The sequence below is a fragment of the Homo sapiens genome, chromosome 1, assembly GCF_000001405.40.
Source record: "Homo sapiens chromosome 1, GRCh38.p14 Primary Assembly".
Taxonomy (NCBI): domain Eukaryota; kingdom Metazoa; phylum Chordata; class Mammalia; order Primates; family Hominidae; genus Homo; species Homo sapiens.
Window position 1 is genome coordinate 93,526,181 of NC_000001.11, and position 23,600 is coordinate 93,549,780.

At 33.2% G+C, this 23,600-nt stretch overlaps 1 protein-coding gene across 3 annotated transcripts in view; it reads left to right on the forward strand.

The window, feature by feature from the left end:
* FNBP1L (formin binding protein 1 like) overlaps positions 1–23,600 on the forward strand; it is a 106,544-nt gene that overhangs the window by 78,063 nt on the left and 4,881 nt on the right. For 2 of the 3 annotated variants that reach the window (NM_001024948.3, NM_017737.5), the window contains exons 6-13: positions 3,472–3,576; positions 4,575–4,703; positions 6,742–6,888; positions 8,525–8,728; positions 17,927–18,036; positions 20,662–20,794; positions 21,167–21,261; positions 23,098–23,246. In NM_001024948.3, coding sequence (NP_001020119.1) covers positions 3,472–3,576; positions 4,575–4,703; positions 6,742–6,888; positions 8,525–8,728; positions 17,927–18,036; positions 20,662–20,794; positions 21,167–21,261; positions 23,098–23,246 — 1,072 coding nt within the window. Of the gene's footprint in view, positions 1–3,471; positions 3,577–4,574; positions 4,704–6,741; positions 6,889–8,524; positions 8,729–10,151; positions 10,311–14,861; positions 14,877–17,926; positions 18,037–20,661; positions 20,795–21,166; positions 21,262–23,097; positions 23,247–23,600 lie in introns of all 3 variants that reach the window. The other variant, NM_001164473.3, reaches the window with a different exon arrangement.

The following is a 23,600-nucleotide window of genomic DNA, read 5'->3' on the forward strand; positions in this document are numbered from 1 at the left end:
GAGATTAAGAAGATAGAAGCATCAGAGATGCGAGGTCCATCAGTTACAAGGCTCCAAGTAACAGAGCATACAGTTTTATAAGAGCAGAGCTCAGAAATGGAGCAGTTCCATAGTTAGTCAGTAGCCCACGGTTGTCACCAGGCTCCATCTCCTTTTCATCTGTCTACTTTGCCATCTTGACCAGGTGCTCTTTTCCTCAGCCATGTCTCCTTAAGGTCAGCAGTAGGCTTAAAGAGCTAAACACGATATCCTCATTCAGTTTCATCCAGAGGTGGGAAAAAGGCAGCATTTCACTTCCAACTATCCCATTTTATCAGGGAAGGAAAACTTTCCCAGAAAGTCCCCAACAAATTTCCTCTGGATGCCTTTGACAGAATTAGATTACTTACCTCTGCCCTGGCTGTGGGGAGTCTAGGAGAGCAAGTATTAGCTGTTTTCTGCCTCTGTACTGGGCGGGGCAGGCTCTGCTAAGCAAGAGTAGGGGAGTAGAAGTGGCTGTACTTCGTCTGCCACACCAAGGATGAAGGGAAAAACAATCTTTTCTGGAGTATATTTCTGTCTTGTATAATGTTATATTATCTTTCAGGGAAGGAGCATTTTTAATATTATTGTACTACTAGTTCTTTTGCTTTTGCAAGGAATTATTAGGTAGGTGTTTTCCCACAAATAAGATACCAAATATAAAAATACTTTTGTACATAAGTAGCCTCAGTTTGTACCAGAATTAGTAGCCTATAGTTACTTGATTGGAAAACACAGCTCTGAACTCAGTTTCAGAGAATGAAATGTGGAAGCTTAATTTTCATAGCAAAGTGATTTTATGTATGAGTATTTAAATATTTTAGGGGCTTTGAGTAAATTACAAGTGCCTCATTTGGTGTCTCATACTAATCAAAATACCTGTACAAAATAAAGCCTACATTTAAATAAATTTGAAAAAATCCTGGAGCGCATTTATTTGATGTAAGTTATAGGCCTATCTGGTTGTAACTGTATTACAAACTGAACTACGAAACCTCTTGGCTACAAATGGCTTGATATAACAGCTATTGTAGTTTTAAATTGTATTTTAAACTCTTAGTTACTTGAAAGAAAGGGAAATTGCTAACTGCTAGGGAACTATGGGTAAACAAATCCAGAGCAGTAGGTGTCTGAGCTGATAAGTGGCATTTGGAAAAATGGGGACAGGGTGTTTGAGGTATAATGGTTTCCTGGACCTGGTACTTGCTAAGGGCTTGGATTTCCAGGGTAAGAAATTAACATTGTAACTGGTTCGATAAAGGAGGTTAGGTAAATACAAAATATTGAGATCCCCTGTTTGCTTCTTCTGAGGAATTCTCAGAGCACAGGTTGCAAGGTGCGTATTTTCCAGGCAAGAAATTGGAAGTCTTTCGGGGTAATCTAATCATTTAGGGAGAAAAAGCTTATAAAAACTGCTGCCAGGTTTTTCCAAGGAAACGAACTCCCTGGCCATGTCACCCTAGAGGAAAATATCATAATCCGTAAAGCCCGATCGGTGGAGCTTTCAATGGCTTTTTAAATAAGAGCAGATATCCAAGGATCCCAGGATATTTAAAGAAGACATCTAATGTGCACATGAGGGACCAGAACTAATATGCAGGAAAGAAGGCAATGTGACTATGAAAGGAAATGAAAATTAAAATGCAAAAACAAACAAGGAAAATACTTACAGCTGTTAGCTAATATTCTCAAAGGGAATAGAGAAAATTTTACATCCATGAAATAAGGTATTATTTTAAAAGAAACATATAAAGAACAAAAAATAACTCTATGATAGTAGAAAAAAAAGCCCACTAGAAAAAAAATGAAAGATAAAGTTCAATAAATACCCCAGTAGAGCAAAATGACAGACATTGAAAATATGGAAAATTAGGAGACTCATCCAGTAGGTTCATTTCCAAAATAGTAAACATACTAGAAAAGAGAAAACATAGAAAAGGAACAAAACATAGAAAAGGACAAAAATAACTCAAGAAAGTTTTCCCAGAACTGAAAGACATGAATTTCCAGATGGAAAGGATATCCCATGTGCTCAGCACAGTGGGTCCACATCTCTTGAAATTTCGAACACTTTGGAGAGAGAGAAGATTCTACCACCCTCCAGGGAGAAAAAACCCCAAACAAACAAACATGGTTTATACAATGGGTCAGGAATCAGAATGGAATAGACAGGATAGTTACACAGGAAGCCAGAAGAATAGTGGAGCAATACTTTTAAGTTTTTGAAGGAAAATGATTTCCAACTTAGAGTTCTATATCCAGCCAAATTTTGTCAATTAAAAATGATGGTAAATGCATTTTTAGCCATGGAGATTCAGTTATCTCCTGCAGACCTTTTAGGAGGCTGCTGCTGAATGTGTTCTAGCAAAATGAGGAAGTGAATCAAGAACGGAGAAAGCATACAACTAGGAAATAGGACATCCAAACAAAGATGGAGGTGAAATGAATCCACAGGTTGATGGGGGAGGGAAATGCTAAGGTAACAACTATGCATTAGGCCTAGTTGGTAATGAGTTCAAATTCCAGCAAGTTTAGAAGCCTTTGGGAAAGATTTATCAAGAAAATAAAATCAATAGAATTCCTAATGTGTTAGAATTAACTGCAGTCAGTTTTAAAGAACTGGAAAAAACTGGTTGAATTATGCATTGGAAACTAAGCAAATTGAAAAAATGAAGACATGTATTAACTCCAGAATATCAAAAAATTATGTAGGAAAGAAAATGTAATATGACATATATTTTACATGGCTCAGTTGTGAATAGTTTTTACAAAGTCATAATAGTTTGAATGAAATAAAATTTAAAAAGATTTGGGGTCTGGGCTGATGTTCTTCGTGGGACACCTGGAAGAAACAATATAAAACCACTTTGGAGGGACGCTCCATATACCCAAGCTACATTGGATCTCACCAAAAAAGTATAAAAATAAATGCCAAAACAAACCAACTGAACAAAAAACACCAAACCAAAAAAGTCCTCCTGAAGATGAGGACTTATATTTTTTATAAAAAAATTATAAAACACACATTTTTTGAGTGAGATATATAATAAATATTAACTCAGTCATGCCTATGTTATTTTTCCTCATAGTCTGTAATTAATGTCTGATATTTAAGGAACGTGGATTGGTTGTAATAGTAAAATTTATTTTCTAATTTAGAAAGGACAAATTTTACTTAGTGCGCAGTTCATTTCCACACAATACACAGTGGCACATTTTAAAGTTATTTCTTTTTTCTCTCTTTTTAAAATTATTATACTTTAAGTTCTGGGATACATGTGCAGGACGTGCAGGTTTGTTACATAGGTATACATGTTCCATGGTGGTTTGCTGCACCCATCAACCCGTCATCTATGTTAGTTATTTCTCCTAATGCTCTCTAAAGTTATTTCTTAAATGAAGTTAGCCTGATTTTATTTTCTCAGTGTGATATTTTAATTTTTTTAACAGAGTAAAAAGAAGTTTGAAAGAGAATGTAGAGAGGCAGAAAAGGCACAACAGAGTTATGAAAGATTGGATAATGATACTAATGCAACCAAGGCAGATGTTGAAAAGGTAAGAAATACTCCAAACCAACTTTAATGTCAAAATATTATTATTTGCATAAGGAAAGTAGTCACGACATTTGTATGACTACAGTATTAGGATTTACTTGAGATACACTGTATCTAAGTCTAAAATATACAAATATTTGCCAACTTTAAATTATACGTATTGGTCTGAGAAAGTAATATATGTTAATTTATTACAATATCTTAGCTGCATTCAAATTTAGAGGAAAGACGTAGTTGCTACTGGGATTGAGTTTTTAGCCTATTCCAAAATAGGTTAGAAAGCTAAGATGTGTTGATGGGGTAATAATTAGTTAGAGAATAACTGTTGTAATTTGACTTTGTACAAGAGATCAAGAGGAACAGAACTGTATTCTAAATAAGCATTCCTTAATTTGACTTTGTACAAGAGATCAAGAGGAACAGAACTGTATTCTAAATAAGCATTCCTTAAAGTATCTGTGGTTCTACACATTGGTGGAAACACTGTTGAATGTTGCATTATTCAACAATCATATTATTATTTAGTTTCACTGTGATTTAAGTTCCATATTTTAGTTGGATATAGTTGGATCATAAATGTTTTACTGTTAACTTTTTTAACAATCTGAAAATATTCCTAAAGCTACCTGTTTTTCTCTTCTGATTAAAAGCACACTGTTTCAAGCTATAATGTTTTCATTTGTTTGTTTTTTTATCTGGATTTGGTAAGGAGAGTCTATATTAGAATGTCTTATTGCTATCAGGGAATACTATTGTAATGAGAGAGGGAAGAATATTGTAATAAGGAGACCACTCTGACAGTAAGATCTGCAGGTGTCTTTAAATATAAAATATATTTTAAATGATATTAATAGTTCAAAAAAGTTATGCCACGTCATTATTCTTTTGATGTCAGGTGTTGGCTTCTTCATTGATAAAATCTAGTTTTAGTATAATTTTCAAAAAAGTGAATTGCTGTGATTTTGTTGTTGATAATAATTTCGACCATTTTGCCCCTAGGCCAAACAGCAGTTGAATCTGCGTACGCATATGGCCGATGAAAATAAAAATGAATATGCTGCACAATTACAAAACTTTAATGGAGAACAACATAAACATTTTTATGTAGTGATTCCTCAGATTTACAAGGTAAATCTTAGATATGAAGTTAATCTAGTTTTAGATTAACTGGTGTTTAAATATAAAACTTGTAAGTCTTAGACATCAGAATCTTTCTAGATTCACTAGACATCAGGGTTGGGGTGAGAGATTCCTTTATGATTATAGATTTGAAAACAAGTGTTTTCTAACTTTTAAGTCACACATTTTCCTACGTATCTACTATTAGTGTTATAAACAGTTTACTAAAACAATGACATTTGTAAGATACATTTAAATACTTTAAGTATTTTGACATGACAAAGGAGAATTAATTGAATTTGTATATTGTAATCTGCTCACCTAGAATTGAGATGTAGCATTTTTATACCAAACCAGAGTCATTGGCATCAGTCCAGATGGCAGAAATAAATCTTACAAAATATATTTGCTAGCATGGTTTTTGCCTGCTTATCATGCTGGCTCTGTTAGATGATAAATGTAATTCAGACTTTGAGCTTGCTTATAAATCCTGTCTGTCATCACTTGATGATAACAGTTGCCAAACAGCCTCAGGTAAAAAAGACCTCAGAATTTTCATGAGGGTTAAATTATTTAATTGCCTGTTCTAGAAAGAAGAGAAATTACAGAAAAGGGATTTAGTAAAGCAGTGTTGATGAGTTATTATCTCAACGAGCAGAGCTTCTGTGGGAAGAGTGTCAGCCCGGGTACACTTTTTCTTCTTTATAAGGCAAGTTGGAAATACAAAGAAAGCACAGTGAGAGATAATGAACTGGAGTGGGGACCAGAATTCTGGTCATTGAATCCAGAGGGCCAAGCCTGCCAGTCTTCACTGTGATGCTTTTCTAGGCTTAGTAGTTAAGTCTTCATATTCTGGGGAAACTATAACTTGTGGAGATAAACTACCTTTTGTGTTTTGGGCCTGATACTTGGATTTGGACCTTTCTATGGAGCAATTCTGTGAAAATGCAGGTCTCAAAGTCCCAGGCTGTGGGAGTTTGGGGAGACAAGGAGTGTAACTGCTGTCAATGAAACAGCAAGGTCAGTGCTGGCAAATAGGATATGTCAAAAAAAAAATGCCTTTAAGTTATTGGACTTTATGTGTTCCAACATATTTCCTAGTGGCATGTGCCAGTGAATTTTCAGTTGTGAGGATTCTATATGTGCCACTTTGAGCTTGTGACTTCCTGTTTTTCCTCACGTATCCCCAGCTCTGAGGTGTACACTGCAGTAGGTCTGGGTACCTGTTGATAAACAACTAGTATGGACTGTTGGTCCAGCCAAGTCTTACCAAAGTATCCTGAATTAACTTGAGGTTAGAAGTCTCAGACTTGGCCGGGGGCAGTGGCTCACGCCTGTAATCCCAGCACTTTGGGAGGCCGAGGCAGGTGGATCACGAGGTCAAGAGATTGAGACCATCCTGGCCAACATGGTGAAACCCCATCGCTACTAAAAATACAAAAATTAGCTGGGCATGGTGGCACGTGCCTGTAGTCCCAGCTACTTGAGAGACCGAGGCAGGAGAATTGCTTGAACCTGGGAGGTGGAGGTTGCAGTGAGCCGAGATCGCGCAACTGCACTCCATCCAGCCTGGCGACAGAGCGAGACTCCGCCTCAAAAAAAAAAAAAAAAAAAAGTCTCAGTCTTGTATATGTTATGGGCCAGTTGCTTTAAAAAAAAAAAAAAGCACCAGAATTTTGTCATCAAATGAAATGTTTTCTGGAAGCATAAACAAGAACTACTCTGATTGAATAGTAAAAGGTGGGAGTGCTATGGGGCAGGGAGCTGATAGCCAGTAAGGGGTCCTTTTAGAAGGCTAGAATCCCAGTGTCATCTGGTTTTAGGAAAACAATACTAAGTGCCTTACTATTTTTTTTCTTTCTTTTGTTGTTTAGCATGTCCCAGGTTTTAAGTATTATAAGTCAATAGCACTTGTTAAAAGGTATTAACAACAGTGTAACTATGAGGGTAGAAATATTTAATTTTTGATGGGGGATCACTAATTGAACTCCTTTAGAATGATTGAAAAATTCAGTTTTCTCTTTTTAAAAAAATTCTTGATTATTAGCAACTACAAGAAATGGACGAACGAAGGACTATTAAACTCAGTGAGTGTTACAGAGGATTTGCTGACTCAGAACGCAAAGTTATTCCCATCATTTCAAAATGTTTGGAAGGAATGATTCTTGCAGCAAAATCAGTTGATGAAAGAAGAGTAAGTGCTAAATAATTATCTTTGAATGCATCTGTTTGGTTTAGGTGTGCAGTTTAAGTTAGTGAAATGAGTTGAGAAAGGGATAAAGTAATCTGATGTGTGGTTCTAAATTATATTCTGTAGAAGAATGTCTTGCAATAGATTCCTTTGAGTTCTGAGATTCATTCTACATGCAAAAGTTCTAATTCTTTCTTAAAAAAAAAAAAAAGATTTCTAACTCTCTTCTCCCACTAAGTTTTCAGTTCTTATCAAAGAGTCTAACCTAGGAACTGTGTGTTACAAATTGTGTTATACTATTATATTAGTTTAGTGAAAATTTAGAGAAGTATGTGGTTAGAGTTGCCTTTAGCACTTGAGCTGGATCAAGAAATGTGGGTAGCATATGGAGTGATGACCAATGAGGAGGAGGAAGGAGGGCATTATGTGCAGATGAAACAGCATAGCCCTCCTCCCCTTGAGGATAGGTAATCACATTGTATCTTGATTAAGGACTAGGGTCTTTTATCTCAGTAAATGTTGATTGAGTGATCAAAAAGCATGGTTGGCAGAAACTGAGGAAAGGCAGTGGCAAGAGAAGAGAACTGGTGTTTGCAGGATATCAGATATGTGTCACATATTTTAGTCTTCATGAACCTATCAAGTAGATATTATATTAGTGAGGATCCTTTCTGTTACAGCTAATAGAATTCTCACTTAAATTTAGAAAAGAGGATTTTTGGCTTTCAGCATGGCTGGATACAAGTTTATACAATATCATTACAGCCCTCTTCTCTCTAATTACCCTTTAGCAAATTATTGCTGAGGGTAGCATTACTGACAAAAGTAAGCTATGACTTAAGGATGACTTTTGACTAAATGAAGGGCAAAATGTACTGTTAACAGAAATAGGCAACAAAAGAGAGGTTGTTGTTAGGGGTGGGGAGGAATTTGTAGAGATACTCTGAAAATAATGAGTTTAAGGTATCACTAAAGCATTCAGGTAGAGGTATGTATGTCTAAAAACAATATTTATGTGAGTTTAAAAATTTTAAATACATGGTATTAAACTTTCAAATGTTGTTTGCACTCAGTAGTGTTTATGAGATCTTTTCCCTGTTGCTCTGTTAACATTCCACAGTATATATTTAATTTATTTATCTTTTCCCATGTTGGATGAGTTAGAAAGCCTTTCCTACTCATCTTTTACTCTCTTTTACAATTAGATGTTCTTTCCTCATTCCAAAGATTAGCTTCTTTGTTGACATCTATCTTTTAAAGCAAAAAGCCTTTTTCCTTTGAAACTTCTCAGAATTTCTACTTGTTAATAACCTCTTTCTGTATTCTTTTTGTCAGTTAGGTCTTTTTCAGCTAAGTAGTCTTCAGATGAATTTCAGGTGGTTAAAGCTACCAAGTAAAAACATTTTATGAATATTATAAATTAATTAAGTTGTAATTTGCAAGTATATTTTTCTTTTGGGATTAAAATACTTTGAGTTTGTTACACATTCATGGGAATAAATTATTTACCTTAATGATTATTGTGGAATTATTTATTTAAACTTATATTTGTTGTTTTTTTGTACTGAAAAAGTTATGAAAGCTGATGTAGAATTATGAGCAAGTGAAACAGTTTTAAAACCTAGTTTCTTTTGTATAGGACTCTCAAATGGTGGTAGACTCCTTCAAATCTGGTTTTGAACCTCCAGGAGACTTTCCATTTGAAGATTACAGTCAACATATATATAGAACCATTTCTGATGGGACTATCAGTGCATCCAAACAGGAGAGTGGGAAGATGGATGCCAAAACCACAGTAGGAAAGGCCAAGGGCAAATTGTGGCTCTTTGGAAAGAAGCCAAAGGTAAAAGTCATAAAATTCCTATATGCTAATCAGTTTAAGTGTACCAACTAAAACAATGTGGGTATTGAATGCAAAATGATTTACCATTAATGGAGAATAAATATTTTCAATTTGAATGATTCAGTTAACCTTTCACTTATATTAGGAATACCTTAACAGTAACAGTTATTTATGGATTTAACATTTGACTACCGCTTAATAATGGGTAAGAGTATTAACAAAGTTGTTAATATCTAGTTAAGTTATATGCTTTTGAAGTTTCATTTGTATGTAGTTTCCATCAGAATTTTTAAGGAAACATGATCTAACTAAAATAGCACTAAAATTGGAATTCTCAAATGGAATGAATGACCACAGCCATAATACATGTCAAGTTAGGTTTTATAGATCCTACTACTAAAATTATTTTTATCATCCATATGAGTTTTTAATGGGAAAGGTTCAGTCTTGGTTAATTGAAGTTTAAAACAATTTCTAGTTTGGTAAGAGAATCTCACTCTTAACTTCTTGTTAGAACCCACCTTCTGATGTGCTCTTTATTTTAGATAGATCTAGGTCAGCATGTGAGCAAATGAAATAGATGGGTGCTTTGTCTTTCTTATCAATTAAGTGGTTGTACTCGTGTCTTATTAGTAAGGAGAATAGAGAAATACTTTTAATCTGATGTGCTGTATTTATTAAAGTATACTTGATTATTTTAATTCATTTTTTGATCATGGCATATGAGTGTAGATAAAATTAAAATTTAACTCATTATAATATACCTGTATCTTTAAAAGCACAATTATAATTAACTCATGCTTTATTTATGCTTTTAATCATATTGTCCAGTCAAGAAGTTGAGAGGTGAGACCTGTTTTAAGTCAGATCGAGGTAGCTAGAAGAGCTTAGATGTACAAGGAATACTGGAATTAAAAAAAAAAAGGTGAAATAAGGATGAAATAGAAACAGCCTGAGAGGAAAGCCATGAATGTAATGAAAATTTTTTTGCCTATTTTTGGTAATAATCAGTTACAGTTTTAATATTTTATGTGCGACATTACCTGTTTAGATAACTTTAGGTGTAGCTGCCAGCTTTATTTCTTGACAAGTACCATGGTAATGCTAATATTCTAGAAATTAGAAGAGAATTTTAAAATCTAGGCCATATTGCTTTCTTTGACAATATAATTTGTGAACTCTGTGTTTTTAATTTGTCCGATGTTAAAAGTAATCAAGTGAAATGGTACATTTTAAAAAGTAAATTTGATTTTTTTAAATAATAGTTTTGGGCAAAACTATGTTTACTTTCTCATAATATTTTTACAGAAAACTTTATTTGAGATATATTTTGTGAAAAGTATGTTGCCAAAAATAGAATTTTCATTTAGGAGAAAACTATGCACATTTGGCTTATTGATTCCTTTCTTTATTTCCATATTAGCCACAGTCCCCACCCTTAACCCCTACTAGTTTATTCACATCCAGTACTCCTAATGGGTCCCAGTTTCTCACATTCTCCATTGAGCCCGTGCATTATTGTATGAATGAAATAAAAACAGGGAAGCCCAGAATTCCTTCTTTCAGAAGCCTCAAAAGAGGGGTAAGTTTAATAATGGGTTAAAATGCATGATGGCCTATTGTGTGTGTAGTGTGGCTTTTAATACTCTCCACCCTCATTATAAGGCTCTCTCCTATAAATACACAGTTTAAAAACACCACAGAATTAAGAATAGCTGCCCTCAAGTTAAAAACAACTCCTCTTTATAACATTTGAAATGCTCAACCATAAAAGAATGGTATTATAAAGAGGGTGCTGGGTACAATCATATTTTAGCTATTTTTTTGTTTATGTGAAATCATATGTTCACCATTGTCTTGTAATGTATTTACATTTTTAAGACTTTCAGTAATTTGTCACTGGAGTTACTCTTGTAATAATTTGTCACCAATGCTGACTTCACCTGCCAATTTTATAAAATATTATTTTATTGACAATAAAATGTCAAGCTCAATTTTAATTGCCCTGCTTATTTTCAGATGTATAAAACAGTTTCCAATAGTTAAAAAAAATTAAAGATAGGCATTTTAAATATCAAGATTGTTGTAGATCAAATTGAGATAATATATTAGAAAATAGATTGTAAATTGTAAAGCCTACAAAAATACTAGATATCACTGAGTAATGTTTACTAAACTGTTGTTTAGCAACAACTGTTATACTACTAATAAATACATTAGTGTTACTCTATTTAATGTTAGTGAGGCTAATTTTTCTTGTTTATGTTTGATTTTAAGGGTGTGCTTTTAATATTCATAACCTGTAATTTAGACTCATTTATAAGATTTGAGCATTTGTTGGGACATTTGAAAAACATAGGTTCATTAACCCATAGATGAGAAATCAGTCTTTCAATGTCGTAAGAAGCCTAACAATAATAATCTAAAATTAGGTTGTTTCGTTCTTCCTTCTTAGACCCTTCCCTCCCTTCCTTTCTCCTCTTTTCTCTCTTCTTACCCCTCCTTCCCTTCTATTTTTCTTCCTTTCTGTCTTCACATTGCATTTTGGCCTCCTATAGAACAAGATATATTAGTTTAGGGACAAGATTACATCTATATTGCTTTAAAACATTATGACAAACTTAACTGATGTTACTAATGCAGCAGAAATGTCCCAGTGTATTATGTCATTTTCTGGACTTCTTTTTTCCTCCAGTGACATGAACTTCTTTGCATCTGTCTTACCTAATTCTATATGTGGATGGTAGGTAATTGATGACATTTTGAAAAGTCCCCATGGATGAGTCTGTATGATAACTGTAGGCATGCCTATAATCACTTCTAAAAGCTCTGAACACTTGTTTGAAAGACTTTGAGAAATCATATTTGGGATTTCTATTGCCTGAGTTACAAGGCTAGAACTCATTCCCATGTTGCTTCCCTATGGCAGTTTATTTATTACTTATTTTTAATTTAAAATTGTTTTAAAGAGATGTGGTCTTGCTCTGTTGCCCAGGCTGATCTCAAACTCCTGGGCTCAAGCAGTCCTCCCACTTCAGCCTCCCAAAGTTCTGGGATTACAGGCATGAACCACTACTCCTCTGGCAATTTAGACTACACTAAATATTATATTGTTACATAAATCATGAGAAATTACTATGTAGTAGTCACGTTTTTGTAATCATTTGTATATCCTATATAATGAGTCTACCAGGCCCAGTTAAAATAGTCATATTTTACACTATATAGTCATAGTCATATTTTCCACATGTAGTCATAGAGATGCGAGGTAAGTGTAATTCTAAGGAAAAAAAAAACTCAGGCAATTAGAGCTATGAACCCTGGAGAGAAGCTTAAATATGTGTCATCTTATTTTTTTTTTTTTTGAATAAGTTTGTAGGTAGAATTTTATAACTGTAAAACTTAAAACTATTTGCTTATTGTTTCTCACAAATTATAGATATTCATAAGTTATTTACGTAAGATAGCATAAGTTATTTTTGTAGGGATCTAGTTTTAGAAGGCTGAAATCCCCTCCCAGATTTATTATTAGCTATACCACTCCAGAGAAGAAAGCAGTGTGAAAGAGAAAATATGACAAACCAACTAGGGGTTTAGAGGACAGAGCAGGGAAGAAAGTGGATTACAACTTGGAGGTTGAGAAATTTTTTTCTTTTGATTACCGTTTGGTATTTACTAGATATTTATCTCAAAAATTAACCTATAGAGATTTTTTTTCCACATAAGAATTTTCTCAATATAGAAAAATTCAAAAAGAAGAAGGTAAGCTTTAGTAAGCCTGCTTATATGTTTTTACATGGAATTTTCAGTCTATTAAGATTACAAAATAAGTCTAGAGGTTTCTTAAAACTGATGAGTTGTACCATTCAGTTCAGAAACTCCTGTTTTGTGCGATATTTGCTGCACATTGCTTTTCCTAAATAACTTCTTAAAAATTATGATTTTTTCTTTTTCTTTTCCTTTTTTAAAGAAAAACTCGTGTGTACAGATCCCAGTATAAATTAAGGATATGAAAAATGTTTTTGAGTTTGACAGTGGTATCAGCAGATCTTTTCTGAGGGAGGAAGTTCTATAATTTCCTTCTGTGACATTAAGTTCTAACCGTTAATGGATATTTGAGGATATACTCGAACTTAACTACTTAAAAACAAACTAATAATTTTTACTCTATTGCTACTTTGAGTTTTATTGGATACTGTTTTTTAAGTTATTTATTTAGCAATGAGTCCAGGTTTTCTCTCTGAATATTTATGACTTTATAGACTTTCAGAGACATTTTTCTAAGCTTTTATCTCTCCAGAGTAGTTCTCATGAAATTTTGTCCTATTTAAAATGAAATACACCTAATAATTTTAATTGTCTAAATGATTTCCTTTTTAGCTCTCTTGTGTTTATTAAATGTAGTTGAGTATATGAAGTTTTCTAGTTTATGAGTATATAATTGTATATGAGAATAAGATATTTTTGTATGGAACATGTATTACTTTAAAACCTTACACAGAACATATGTCTAATATTTTTACAAAGAACTTGAGCTTTGTATATCCCCAAATCTAATTATCAAATTTCCAATTGATAATTTAGTAAGACTAGATTAACAAATAGCTGAAACATTTGATATTTCAGCTATAATTATCTTAATGTTTTCTCTAAAATATTAATATAGAAATTAGATAATTTGCATCACTTAGAAATTTCACTGGTGAAAATTATTGAAAGATAAGTCAAATTCATATACTTCAAATATTTTGTTGCTTGTCCTATGTATAATTTCATTTAATAACATTTTTGAAAGACTGTGAATATCTTTCTTCAAACCTTTCTATTTCCTTACCAGGAGTTTTTTAATAGCAAAATAAATTTTTTTGTTTCTCAAAAATACTGACAGTCTAAAGAATGTTAAGCTTAATTTGGAACGATAATGCATAAGCAGTGACCAACTCATCAGAGATAAGGGGTAGATATTTTTGTCAGATTATTTATTAAAATTCATTCATATTTTTAATGTGAATTTTTTATCTGACATCTCCCCAACACCTTCTCTTAAAACATGTGATTTAGAAAATAGGGAAAAGTAAAAATTTTACAGGCAGCTCACTAATTGAGATGAATGTGAAGATTAACTTTATAAAGCTCCGTTGCATTTTCTGGGTCACCGTGTGTGTGTATGTGTGTGGGTGTGTAGTTGGGATGCTAGATAGATGCCATGCCAGTTGCAGAATCCTATTGACCCACAGAATGTGGGAGATATATCCAAATCCATATACATATCTATATCTGTACACACACACATATATATACATATATAAAGTATTGTTGTACAAGAGCACTATGGTTGGTCTCTTCAGAATCTGTGTCATTTCATATTTTCAGAAAGAATACATTTTAATCAATTTTCTAAAAATTGAAGTTATGTTTTTAGTGTTGTTCAAGCATATGGATTTTAAAATAAAACCTGAAAAATGGAAGCTATATTTTTAAAGCAAAATTCAACCTATATACTTGTATATATTAGGAAATGTGTACGGGAAACTTGAATCTGGATAACTCACTATTTTGAAAATAATGTGTTTTAAATGTACATTTTAAAAGATTTTAAAATGAAAGTAAAAATGTTACCCTCATCTAACCATGGTATATTTAAATTCAAACAGTACTTTGAAGTATAAAAATGTAGGTAATAGTGTTTTCTTTAACACACTGGAAAGAACATTCTATTTTTTAATATTTCACATAAGATTTCTTTTTAAATGTTTAATCTTAGAGTTCATATTCAACTTTTCAAATATTAGTAATTTGAGAATAAAGAGCTATAGAAGTGAAATCCACTTACATAAAATTCACTTTAAAAGAAAATGCATGATTACAGGTAGAATGTTTATTTTTAAGTTTTAGTTAAACATAGAAAATATCTGCCCATTATCATCAATGTATGCTTTTTTTTTTTTTTTTTGCAAGTAATTTACTTTCCCAAAATGTGCTTAAAATGGTTTTTCTGGCATAATTGTTTGGATTGTGAAATGTACGTGATTTATTTTAGTATTGTGAAAAAGAATAGGCTATTGCATCTTCTGTATTATGGTTTCCTGTGAATAATTTACCATTTCTTTCTGTTTTCCATTGAACTATTCAGTGGTCGGTGAAGATGGTAAGCCTTATGTGCTGATCTATATACTGTGCCAACATTAAGTAATCTCAAAACATTGTTTTGTTTAATTCAAAACAAGTGGTAAATTACATCCCACGTTTTCACCTTGTGTGTTTTTTCTTTTTATAGTTTCATAGTCCAGCATATGCCAGTACTCTTGATGTCATAAGATTAGAAAATGTGGTTAATTGTCATCAACCCATTAAGTTCTTAAATGTCATTGAATGGAGTCCTTGTCATGTTACAGAGGAGCGTAAAATTGTGGTTAAACATTTTTTAAAGATTACATGGTAGAGCCACAGTTTGTTATGCAGAAGGAAAATTTAGCAAATATTATTTTGCTTAATAGCCTTTAAAAAATCGTATAAATTTGATTTGTAGTTTTATCCCCAGAGTCATTAGATTTTTCCAAAAAAAGAAAGAAAAATTTCAAACTAGTATCATTATGGAGTTAGTCCTTGGTTCTTCTGTGCTATTGAAGGAGAATAGAAACACAAATGATCTAAATATCCTGTGTGTGTTTGTGTGGGGGGTGGGGCGGGGCGGGGAAGGTGTGTGTGTGTTTGGGATGTTCCTTGGTATGTTTATTTCAAACAAATTAATGGATCTACATTAGGAACTAACCCCAAAATTATTGTATAGGAAGCTACTGGAAAATAGACCACTCTTTTTTACATTGTTGGAATCAGCCTTTTATAAATTCCTTTGTAGTAAGAGAGGTTGTTAAATGCCCCAGAGGTCTTCTGAACATCCATAGGAAATAAAGTTAAGTTTAATTCTCATATTCTATGTAAGAATAGAGTTCCAATGTCAAATGGGATATTAGAAATGTAAGTGCCTCAGTGTTTACTGTTCATAAATTTGAGAACAGGGTTTGATAAGGGATAAGTGGAATTCTGGCAGATTTACTTGTAGGTTATTGTGAGTTTATCATAATTTTGACAACAAAAAAAAACTCCACAGTATGTTGAAATGCATTTCTTCATTTTATTCAATAATTTTTCAAGATTTTTAGAAATATTTTTAAAAATCTAAATTAAGAAGTTTATTTTTGGCATATATATATACTAGTTTTCAAAACTTGTACTCCTTTTCTGTAATCCCAGCTATTTGGGAGGCTAAGGCGGGAGGATTGGTTGAGCCCAGGAGTTCGAGGCTATAGTGAGCCATGAGAGCTATGATCACTCAACTGCATTCCATTGTGGGCAACAGAATGAGACCCTATCTCTACAAAAAACCTTCAACTCCAAAGTAGATTAAATATGACAAATTTATGTTGCAAATTAACCAGTAAATCTAAAGGAACTCAACAAAGGAAATTTCACCATTGATTTATTTAGGCCAGATTGGGTTGATTGATATCCTTGTTTCTGGTGATTGGTAAATGAAAAAAAAAAAAAAAAAAAAAAAGCAACACTTAGGATGCCCTACTTTTTTCTAGCAAGCTTGTTGAATATCCATAATCTACAGGCCACTGGGGAAAGAGGCTAGGGATTCTGTTATTAATTAAATGTTACATTTAATTATAGCTCATCCTAGGAGTGAGTTTTCTCTTTTCTGAAAGTAAGTGACTCATTCTTACACATGGTGAAATAAAGCTATTTAGCATATGTTACAGGCATAAGTGGCCCAAAGAGCAAGATCGTATTTGTTTTGAGAGCTCCTTTTAGCATCACTTTAACAAATTTGAATATTTATATTCTTTTTTCTTTTCTTTACCTTTTTTTTTTTTTTTTTTTTTTAAAAGACGGAGTCTCGCTCTTGTCGCCCAGCCTGGAGTGCAATGGCGCGATCTTGGCTCACTGCAACCTCTGCCTTCCGGGTTCAAGTGATTCTCCTGCCTCAGCCTCTCACGAGTAGCTGGGATTACAGGCGCCTGCCACCACGCCTGGCTAATTTATTGTATTTTTAGTAGAGACAGGGTTTCATCATGTCGGCCAGGCTCCAGTCTGGCCTCAAACTCCTGACCTTAGGTGATCCACCCGCCTCAGCCTCCCAAAGTGTTGGGATTACAGGCGTGAGCCACTGCGCCTGGCCTTATTCTTAGAATAACCATTTTGAAAAGAAAATGAATAGTGACAGGCATCATCAATTTCTGGAGTATATATAAAGATTTAAGTAATATAGGTTTATATTAAATAGATTCAATAGCGGCTAATATTGGTTCTGTTGTAATCTGTAATATAAGTAACAGTGATTAAAATAACATTTAAGGGAAAAGGTGTCATTTGGATCAGATGTTTACGTTTAAATACTAGTACTTTTTCTTAAATTGCATAGTTTTTTGAATATCAAAACTTTAAAAAATTTTCAGACATCAAGGATCTTTCCTAAAGAAGGATTTTATCCTTCTTTCAGTAACAACTGAGGTATGTTATTTGGTTTACAAAAGGTTAATTGAAAATATACACTTGTTTGAATATAATTTCTGCTCAGTGGATAGTTCTATCTTTGGTTTTTAATGACCAGGTATGTTTTGAATGGTTTAATCAGTTGTTCAAAGACTATATGTAGTGTTAAAGTATATTTCATTAGATTGTCTTTGTGAGGTAAGTTTCTTAATTATATTCATATTTTCAGTTTGAACATTTGTAACATTCTGAATGTCATGGCAATGGGTTTTATTTGGAAATGTTGTGATATGTTATATATAAAACAATACCCTGTATAGACAAGAATGTTACGTGTTTCCATTTTGTTGTTGTTGCTGTAAGAAGGTTTACATGTATTCATTATAACTCTGCCAAGATTTGAAAGTAATGTGATACTACCTACCAGTTATCTGTATCTGGGTATGATTTTACTTATTCTGTTTCATGGTTTTATAAAATGACTGAAATTTGAGCTCTTTTCTTCAGTACATTGTTTTCATTAACATATACGCATAAACACACACATCTGTGTAGATTTCTTTTTTTTTTAAGGGGTTGCTTGAGGCAAATTTGAAATTAAACTTAAGATTGGTATGTATTCTTATTTTATAGCAGGTATATTTTAAAAATAAAATTTCCCGAAAATGTCTATTATAATGATTTAGATTCTCTTTTCAGGGCCCAGCACTAGAAGATTTCAGTCATCTGCCACCAGAACAGAGACGTAAAAAACTACAGCAGCGCATTGATGAACTTAACAGAGAACTACAGAAAGAATCAGACCAAAAGTATTATTCCTTTAAGTTTTCTCTATCATTATTATTTTAGGATCTACTTTGAGTGACGCCCTTAAATGTGATATACAGAAGGTTTAAAAATCATATATCCTAATTGAAATATCTTTTGAGAGAGAATTATACTCCTACCCTGGAAATTTTTATGGTTACCCTGTCATAGGTTAGAGAATTTCCTTGGTTGCAGATTTTTATTGAATGCTAATATGCCTTCATTAATTTGCAAAAAATTTCTTGATATTTTATTATCAAGAGTAGTTTCATCAGCACTACCTCTTATACTTTGATATATTTTCATTTTGCTTTTATATATAAATTGATTTCATTAGCAACCTGAGGCTATTTTGTAGCAAAACATTTGGCAAACGGTGCTTGATTACTGACGGCTTCATATTTGTTCACACATAAGTTTACTTTTTTATTTCATTTTTATAAGACGTTTCCTCTAGTTTAATTTTTTAAAAATAGACATAGAAGAATTATTCACGATCATTAAAGTGTTATTACAATGAATTGGTGACTTGCTATGTCTTCACTTACGATAAAATTGGGGCTTAAATTGTAGCATGAGAGATTGAAGTTTTGATGCTAAGAATTAGTGTATCAGGTGTGATGTGGCGCTTAATCATAATGAAATATTTGCACTACCTTTGATTCTCATTCACAGTAGCTGTGTTCTGTAAAGTCACTGTGAACACTAAATTATGGAATACTGAAACATTGCTCTTAGGGAGATACAGGGTTAGGTTCTAGGTAGCCACTGGTCACAATGTTTCAGTCAGCTGATTGGCACATAACCTTTTTTTATTTGTGTTTCTGTGTAAAAACACCTTATTTCATATATGATGTTGATTTATTAACTTTGATTTTTTTCTAATAGCACTGTAACTCATGCTTGAACAAAGCTTATCTAAGATTAGAATTTTCTCTGTAAGGTACAGCCTTCTTGTGCTTCAGAACACTAGACAGCACTTGATTGCCATGCTTAGGGGCTATTTTAAACACCAATATCAACAAAAAGCATAAAAATATGAGAAACATTGCACTAAATGAGTAGATTGCAAAAAGGATACATGTCCAGAATATGAGAATACGAGCAAGAAGGCCAGAGTGTCACTGGTTTGACCACAGTTTAGAACTTGAATGTACCTCTGGTGACTCAAATTTTCCCAGATATCTCCATGTCCAAAACAAGAGTAAAGGCACAGAAATGTGAATGTTCTTGCCATGGACTGGAATTAGTGCTAATCCAGAGAGACTTGGTTAAAAATTATGTGGAACATAATAATAGAAGTTGAGGATGAAGAAGTATAGGACTTGTGAAAAATTCTGAATGCTTTTCTGTGAAGTTCTGTAGGTACTACAGTCCCCAGTTATTGAGAGAAGGGGTAACATTATTAGCTCTGTGTGATAAAAGATAATTGAAAACTGTATGAAGAGTAAATAGTATAGGAAAGAGATTGGAGGTAGAAGCCTTTAACAATCCAGGTGAGAGATACTGAGGGCCTAAATTAAGGCATGACCATGGGAATAGAAAGGAGGAATAGATAAAAGAATCATTTCAAAGCCAAAGTAGGTTGTACTTTCACCTGATTGGATGCTGGAGAAGAGAAAACATGGAGGAAGCTTAAAAAAAAAAAAAAGATTTGTAGCTATAGATTTAATTGCAACAATAAGAAAAAAGTTTAGGGCAAAGATAAAGATTTTGTTTATGTTGATTTTTGAAATGTGAAAAATCCATATTAGAAGTGTCCAGTTGGGTTTAAAGATATGAATCTAGAATTCAGGAGAGAGAGGTCTGGAGATATGCATTTGAAAATCATCTGAAGATGGATGATATTAAAACAATTAAGAGATCATCCTCCAACAAGACTGTAGGAAGAGACGAGAAGAAACCTTTGTCATTTTATGTAATACACATTTAAAGGTTGAACAAAGAAGGAGAAAGAAGGCAGTGAGGGAGATTGTGAGAAAGCAGAGGTGAGGAGGAGGGAAAAGAAAATGTAACCTATAGGAAGTCATGAAGGAAAAGAGTATTAAGGAGTGTTAGTCAATAGTGTCAGATGTTAGAGTCAAGGACAGCTAATTGAGGCACAACCGATTGTAATATGATTAGAGAATAGGAGGTAGGTTGAGAGGAATTGGCAAATGACTGACTTTGGGTGGGGGCAAGTTAAAGCTGCCATTCCTATTTCTAGCAGAGGTGAGTGGGAGGACAATGATGATGTATGAGCTAAGGAACACTGTGGAATAGTGTGGCTGAGTTGGAATATAATGAGTTTGATTTGGGACATGATGAGCTGAAGAATATTCTTCCAGCCCTTGATTTTGTGTGTGTGTGTATATGTACATATAAATAAAATTCCTTGTTTAGAAAGCAGGAAGTAAGAAATGAACTCTGTTCTCTTTTGGTATTCTGATTGTCTTCATAAATTAGTAACTCTATATGTTATCACCTTTATGCAAATTGTCTTTAATCAGGTCATGTTAGACAAACTTAAAAAGATGTGACTCTACTTAAGATTAAGCTGCGTACGAGTCCCCAGAGTCCAATAAAACTCTTTTATCTGGAAGCATATGAAGTTAATATTTAATTCTGGGGTTCCTTCTCTTTTTTAGAGATGCACTCAACAAAATGAAAGATGTATATGAGAAGAATCCACAAATGGGGGATCCAGGGAGTTTGCAGCCTAAATTAGCAGAGACCATGAATAACATTGACCGCCTACGAATGGAAATCCATAAGAATGAGGTAGATTTGTTATTCAGCACTTGTCAAGATAAATTATTTTTATAAACTTCATTATGATAGATTGGTTTTTGTTAGAATTATCTTCAAATGTTTATATTTAATGTTAGGGTTTATGATCTAAAAGTATTATTGTGATGTGTGTTATTTAATCTCATTAAAGTTTTTTATTTAGACCTTTATATAAGATTAAACATTTATACTATTTTTTTGAATCAGCTATAAAGTTGATCCTTTGACCAGTTTGGAATAAAGGTTTCACATCTCTAAGAATTACATAATTATAAAAACTTAAACACATTTTAAATGTAGATATCTTATGAGCTTTTAAACATATTTATTGAGCTCAGTTGTTTGCTTATTTTTTTTCCTAAGGCTTGGCTCTCTGAAGTCGAAGGCAAAACAGGTGGGAGAGGAGACAGAAGACATAGCAGTGACATAAATCATCTTGTAACACAGGGACGAGAAAGGTGATTTTTTGTATTTTATTTGTATTTCTTCTCCCCAGAGTTTTCTCACCCTTTTGTCCTAAACTTTATACAATTCGTTTTTTTCTTCCAAATTTAACAAGTTAAGCTTTTAGTAACCTCAGTCTTTTGAACCTAAGTAATTTTCTTTAGTGATAATTACAGGTGAAGTAGGAAAGTTCATCTTGCTATTCAATCCTAGTTTGTCATGCATCCAAACACAGAGCTAGGAACATAGAAAATTCTTGGAGCTACAGTCTGAGGGCCTAGGCTCCTCGGGCATGGGAAGGTTTCCTAAGGTTCAAGTGGAATTAGGGTCGCTTATGCCAAAGAAAAATTTTACTATCAAATAGCTCAGAGTTTTGTGAAGAAAAAAAAATGTATTGTTAGTTTGGACCAGAGCTTCCAAAAGACACTTTGCTAAGTTTCTGTACCACTTGTGACATTTCTTTCTTGATGTATTATATCTTTTTTTCCAGACTAAAAGTCCACAAATTAGGATTCACCTTAGAGAAAAATGTGAGAGGCCTAGTAACAACTCTTAGTTTTCTACTTAATTACAGTGTAATCTGAGCAAGTTCATTTTTAATGCTCCCTAAGTCTCAATTTCCTGAAATATAAAATGGAGGTTAAAATATCCACCCTTTAGGTTTGTTAGTAAAAAAGTAAATAATACACATAAAGCACCTAGTAGTAAATAGTGGTAATAGTAGTATCACTTCTTGAAAGAGTACATATCTTTAATCTGTTAAGAGATACCCACAAATTACTGGTTTTTGTTATTAGGTAAAACTCAGATTAAAAGGATCTAATTTCTTTGGCATGTGTTATTTCTCTGGCTTCCAGGCTTACTGAAAGTACTGTTAAAATCTAATTCTGTAAAATTTTCCATTATTAAATCTAATTCAGTCATTTGATTCTTCAGCAAAATTATTAACATTTTTCTCTGATTTAAAAAATTTTAAGAAAAATAAATTGTGTTTGTATTACCTGCTTTTTTGGATTTTTTTAAGTTACCAACTTCCCTGTTACCATGATTAGTTGGAAATTTACTTTACTTTTTATTTTAGTTGAGAATCTTTTAATTTTCAGTGACAGAATGAATACTTTACCCATGCTGGCTTAAACTAAAAATGGACTTCATTGGCTGACTTCAGGGAGAGCTTGATCTAGGAGCTCAGATGTTATCCCTAGGACTCAATTTCTCTCCACCTCACAGCTGTGCTTTCTACTGTGTTGGCTTCCTTTTAAGGCTCCAAAGCTCTAGGCGAGTATTCCTGCAGGTTTCGAGTCCAGTAGAAAAGGGACAGAGTGAATTCTCTTCGAAGAGTCCCAAGCAAAAGTTTCTGTGCATTTCTTAAATCTGATTAGGTTACAGGACTTCTTGTGAACTGGTTATATAGATGATTGCTCTGATGGGCCACTCCAGATTCAGAATAGAAACAATCCACCTGAAGCGTGTGAACTAAACATGGATATGCATGGATCCCTTAAGGAATTTTAGGATGATAAATTTGGGATGATGGAAGACAAGGGTCTAGAACGTTTTTCTGTTTTATGTCTAGACCGAGTGATAGTGAGGTGTATTTACTGAATAATACTTTGTGCCTAGAATATTGTAATCTTGTAATTTTTTTTTAATTCAGGAAATTCAGCAAAGCAGCATTTTGTATTAGAAGTAATTTGTATACTTGACATTTGAAAAAAATAGGGCTTAAGTGGAAACTGTGTCATTAATATTTAATTTTTGGAATTGATCCTGAGGTGATCAATTTATAAATAATATATAGAATTCTCATGTTTATGATACTTGATCAGAGATAATTTTTTGTTTTATAGTCCTGAGGGAAGTTACACTGATGATGCAAACCAGGAAGTCCGTGGGCCACCCCAGCAGCATGGTCACCACAATGAGTTTGATGATGAATTTGAGGATGATGATCCCTTGCCTGCTATTGGACACTGCAAAGCTATCTACCCTTTTGATGGTATGATTTTCTTAATAATATTGTATGTAAAAAAATTGGTTCTTTAAAAGTATTTACATCAAGTCACTCACTGTAGTATCCTTATTTAAGTAATATATGTTGTCAGAAAATTATTATCCCATTTCTTTAGTATGCATACTTTTGTTATAACTGTATTACAAATGTAGATATTTTTCTTCCGTACATGGAATTAAAAGGAAATTGCCCACGTTACTAGCATCCTAATACAGATTATTAATTAATTATCAATTTTGGTCAGTGCAGAATTTTCACCAGAGTCCTTACTGTGCACATGTCCTAAACAAAGTCGAGGCAGCTTGAACATGTAGCTCAACCCAGGAAGCGGGATGCTGG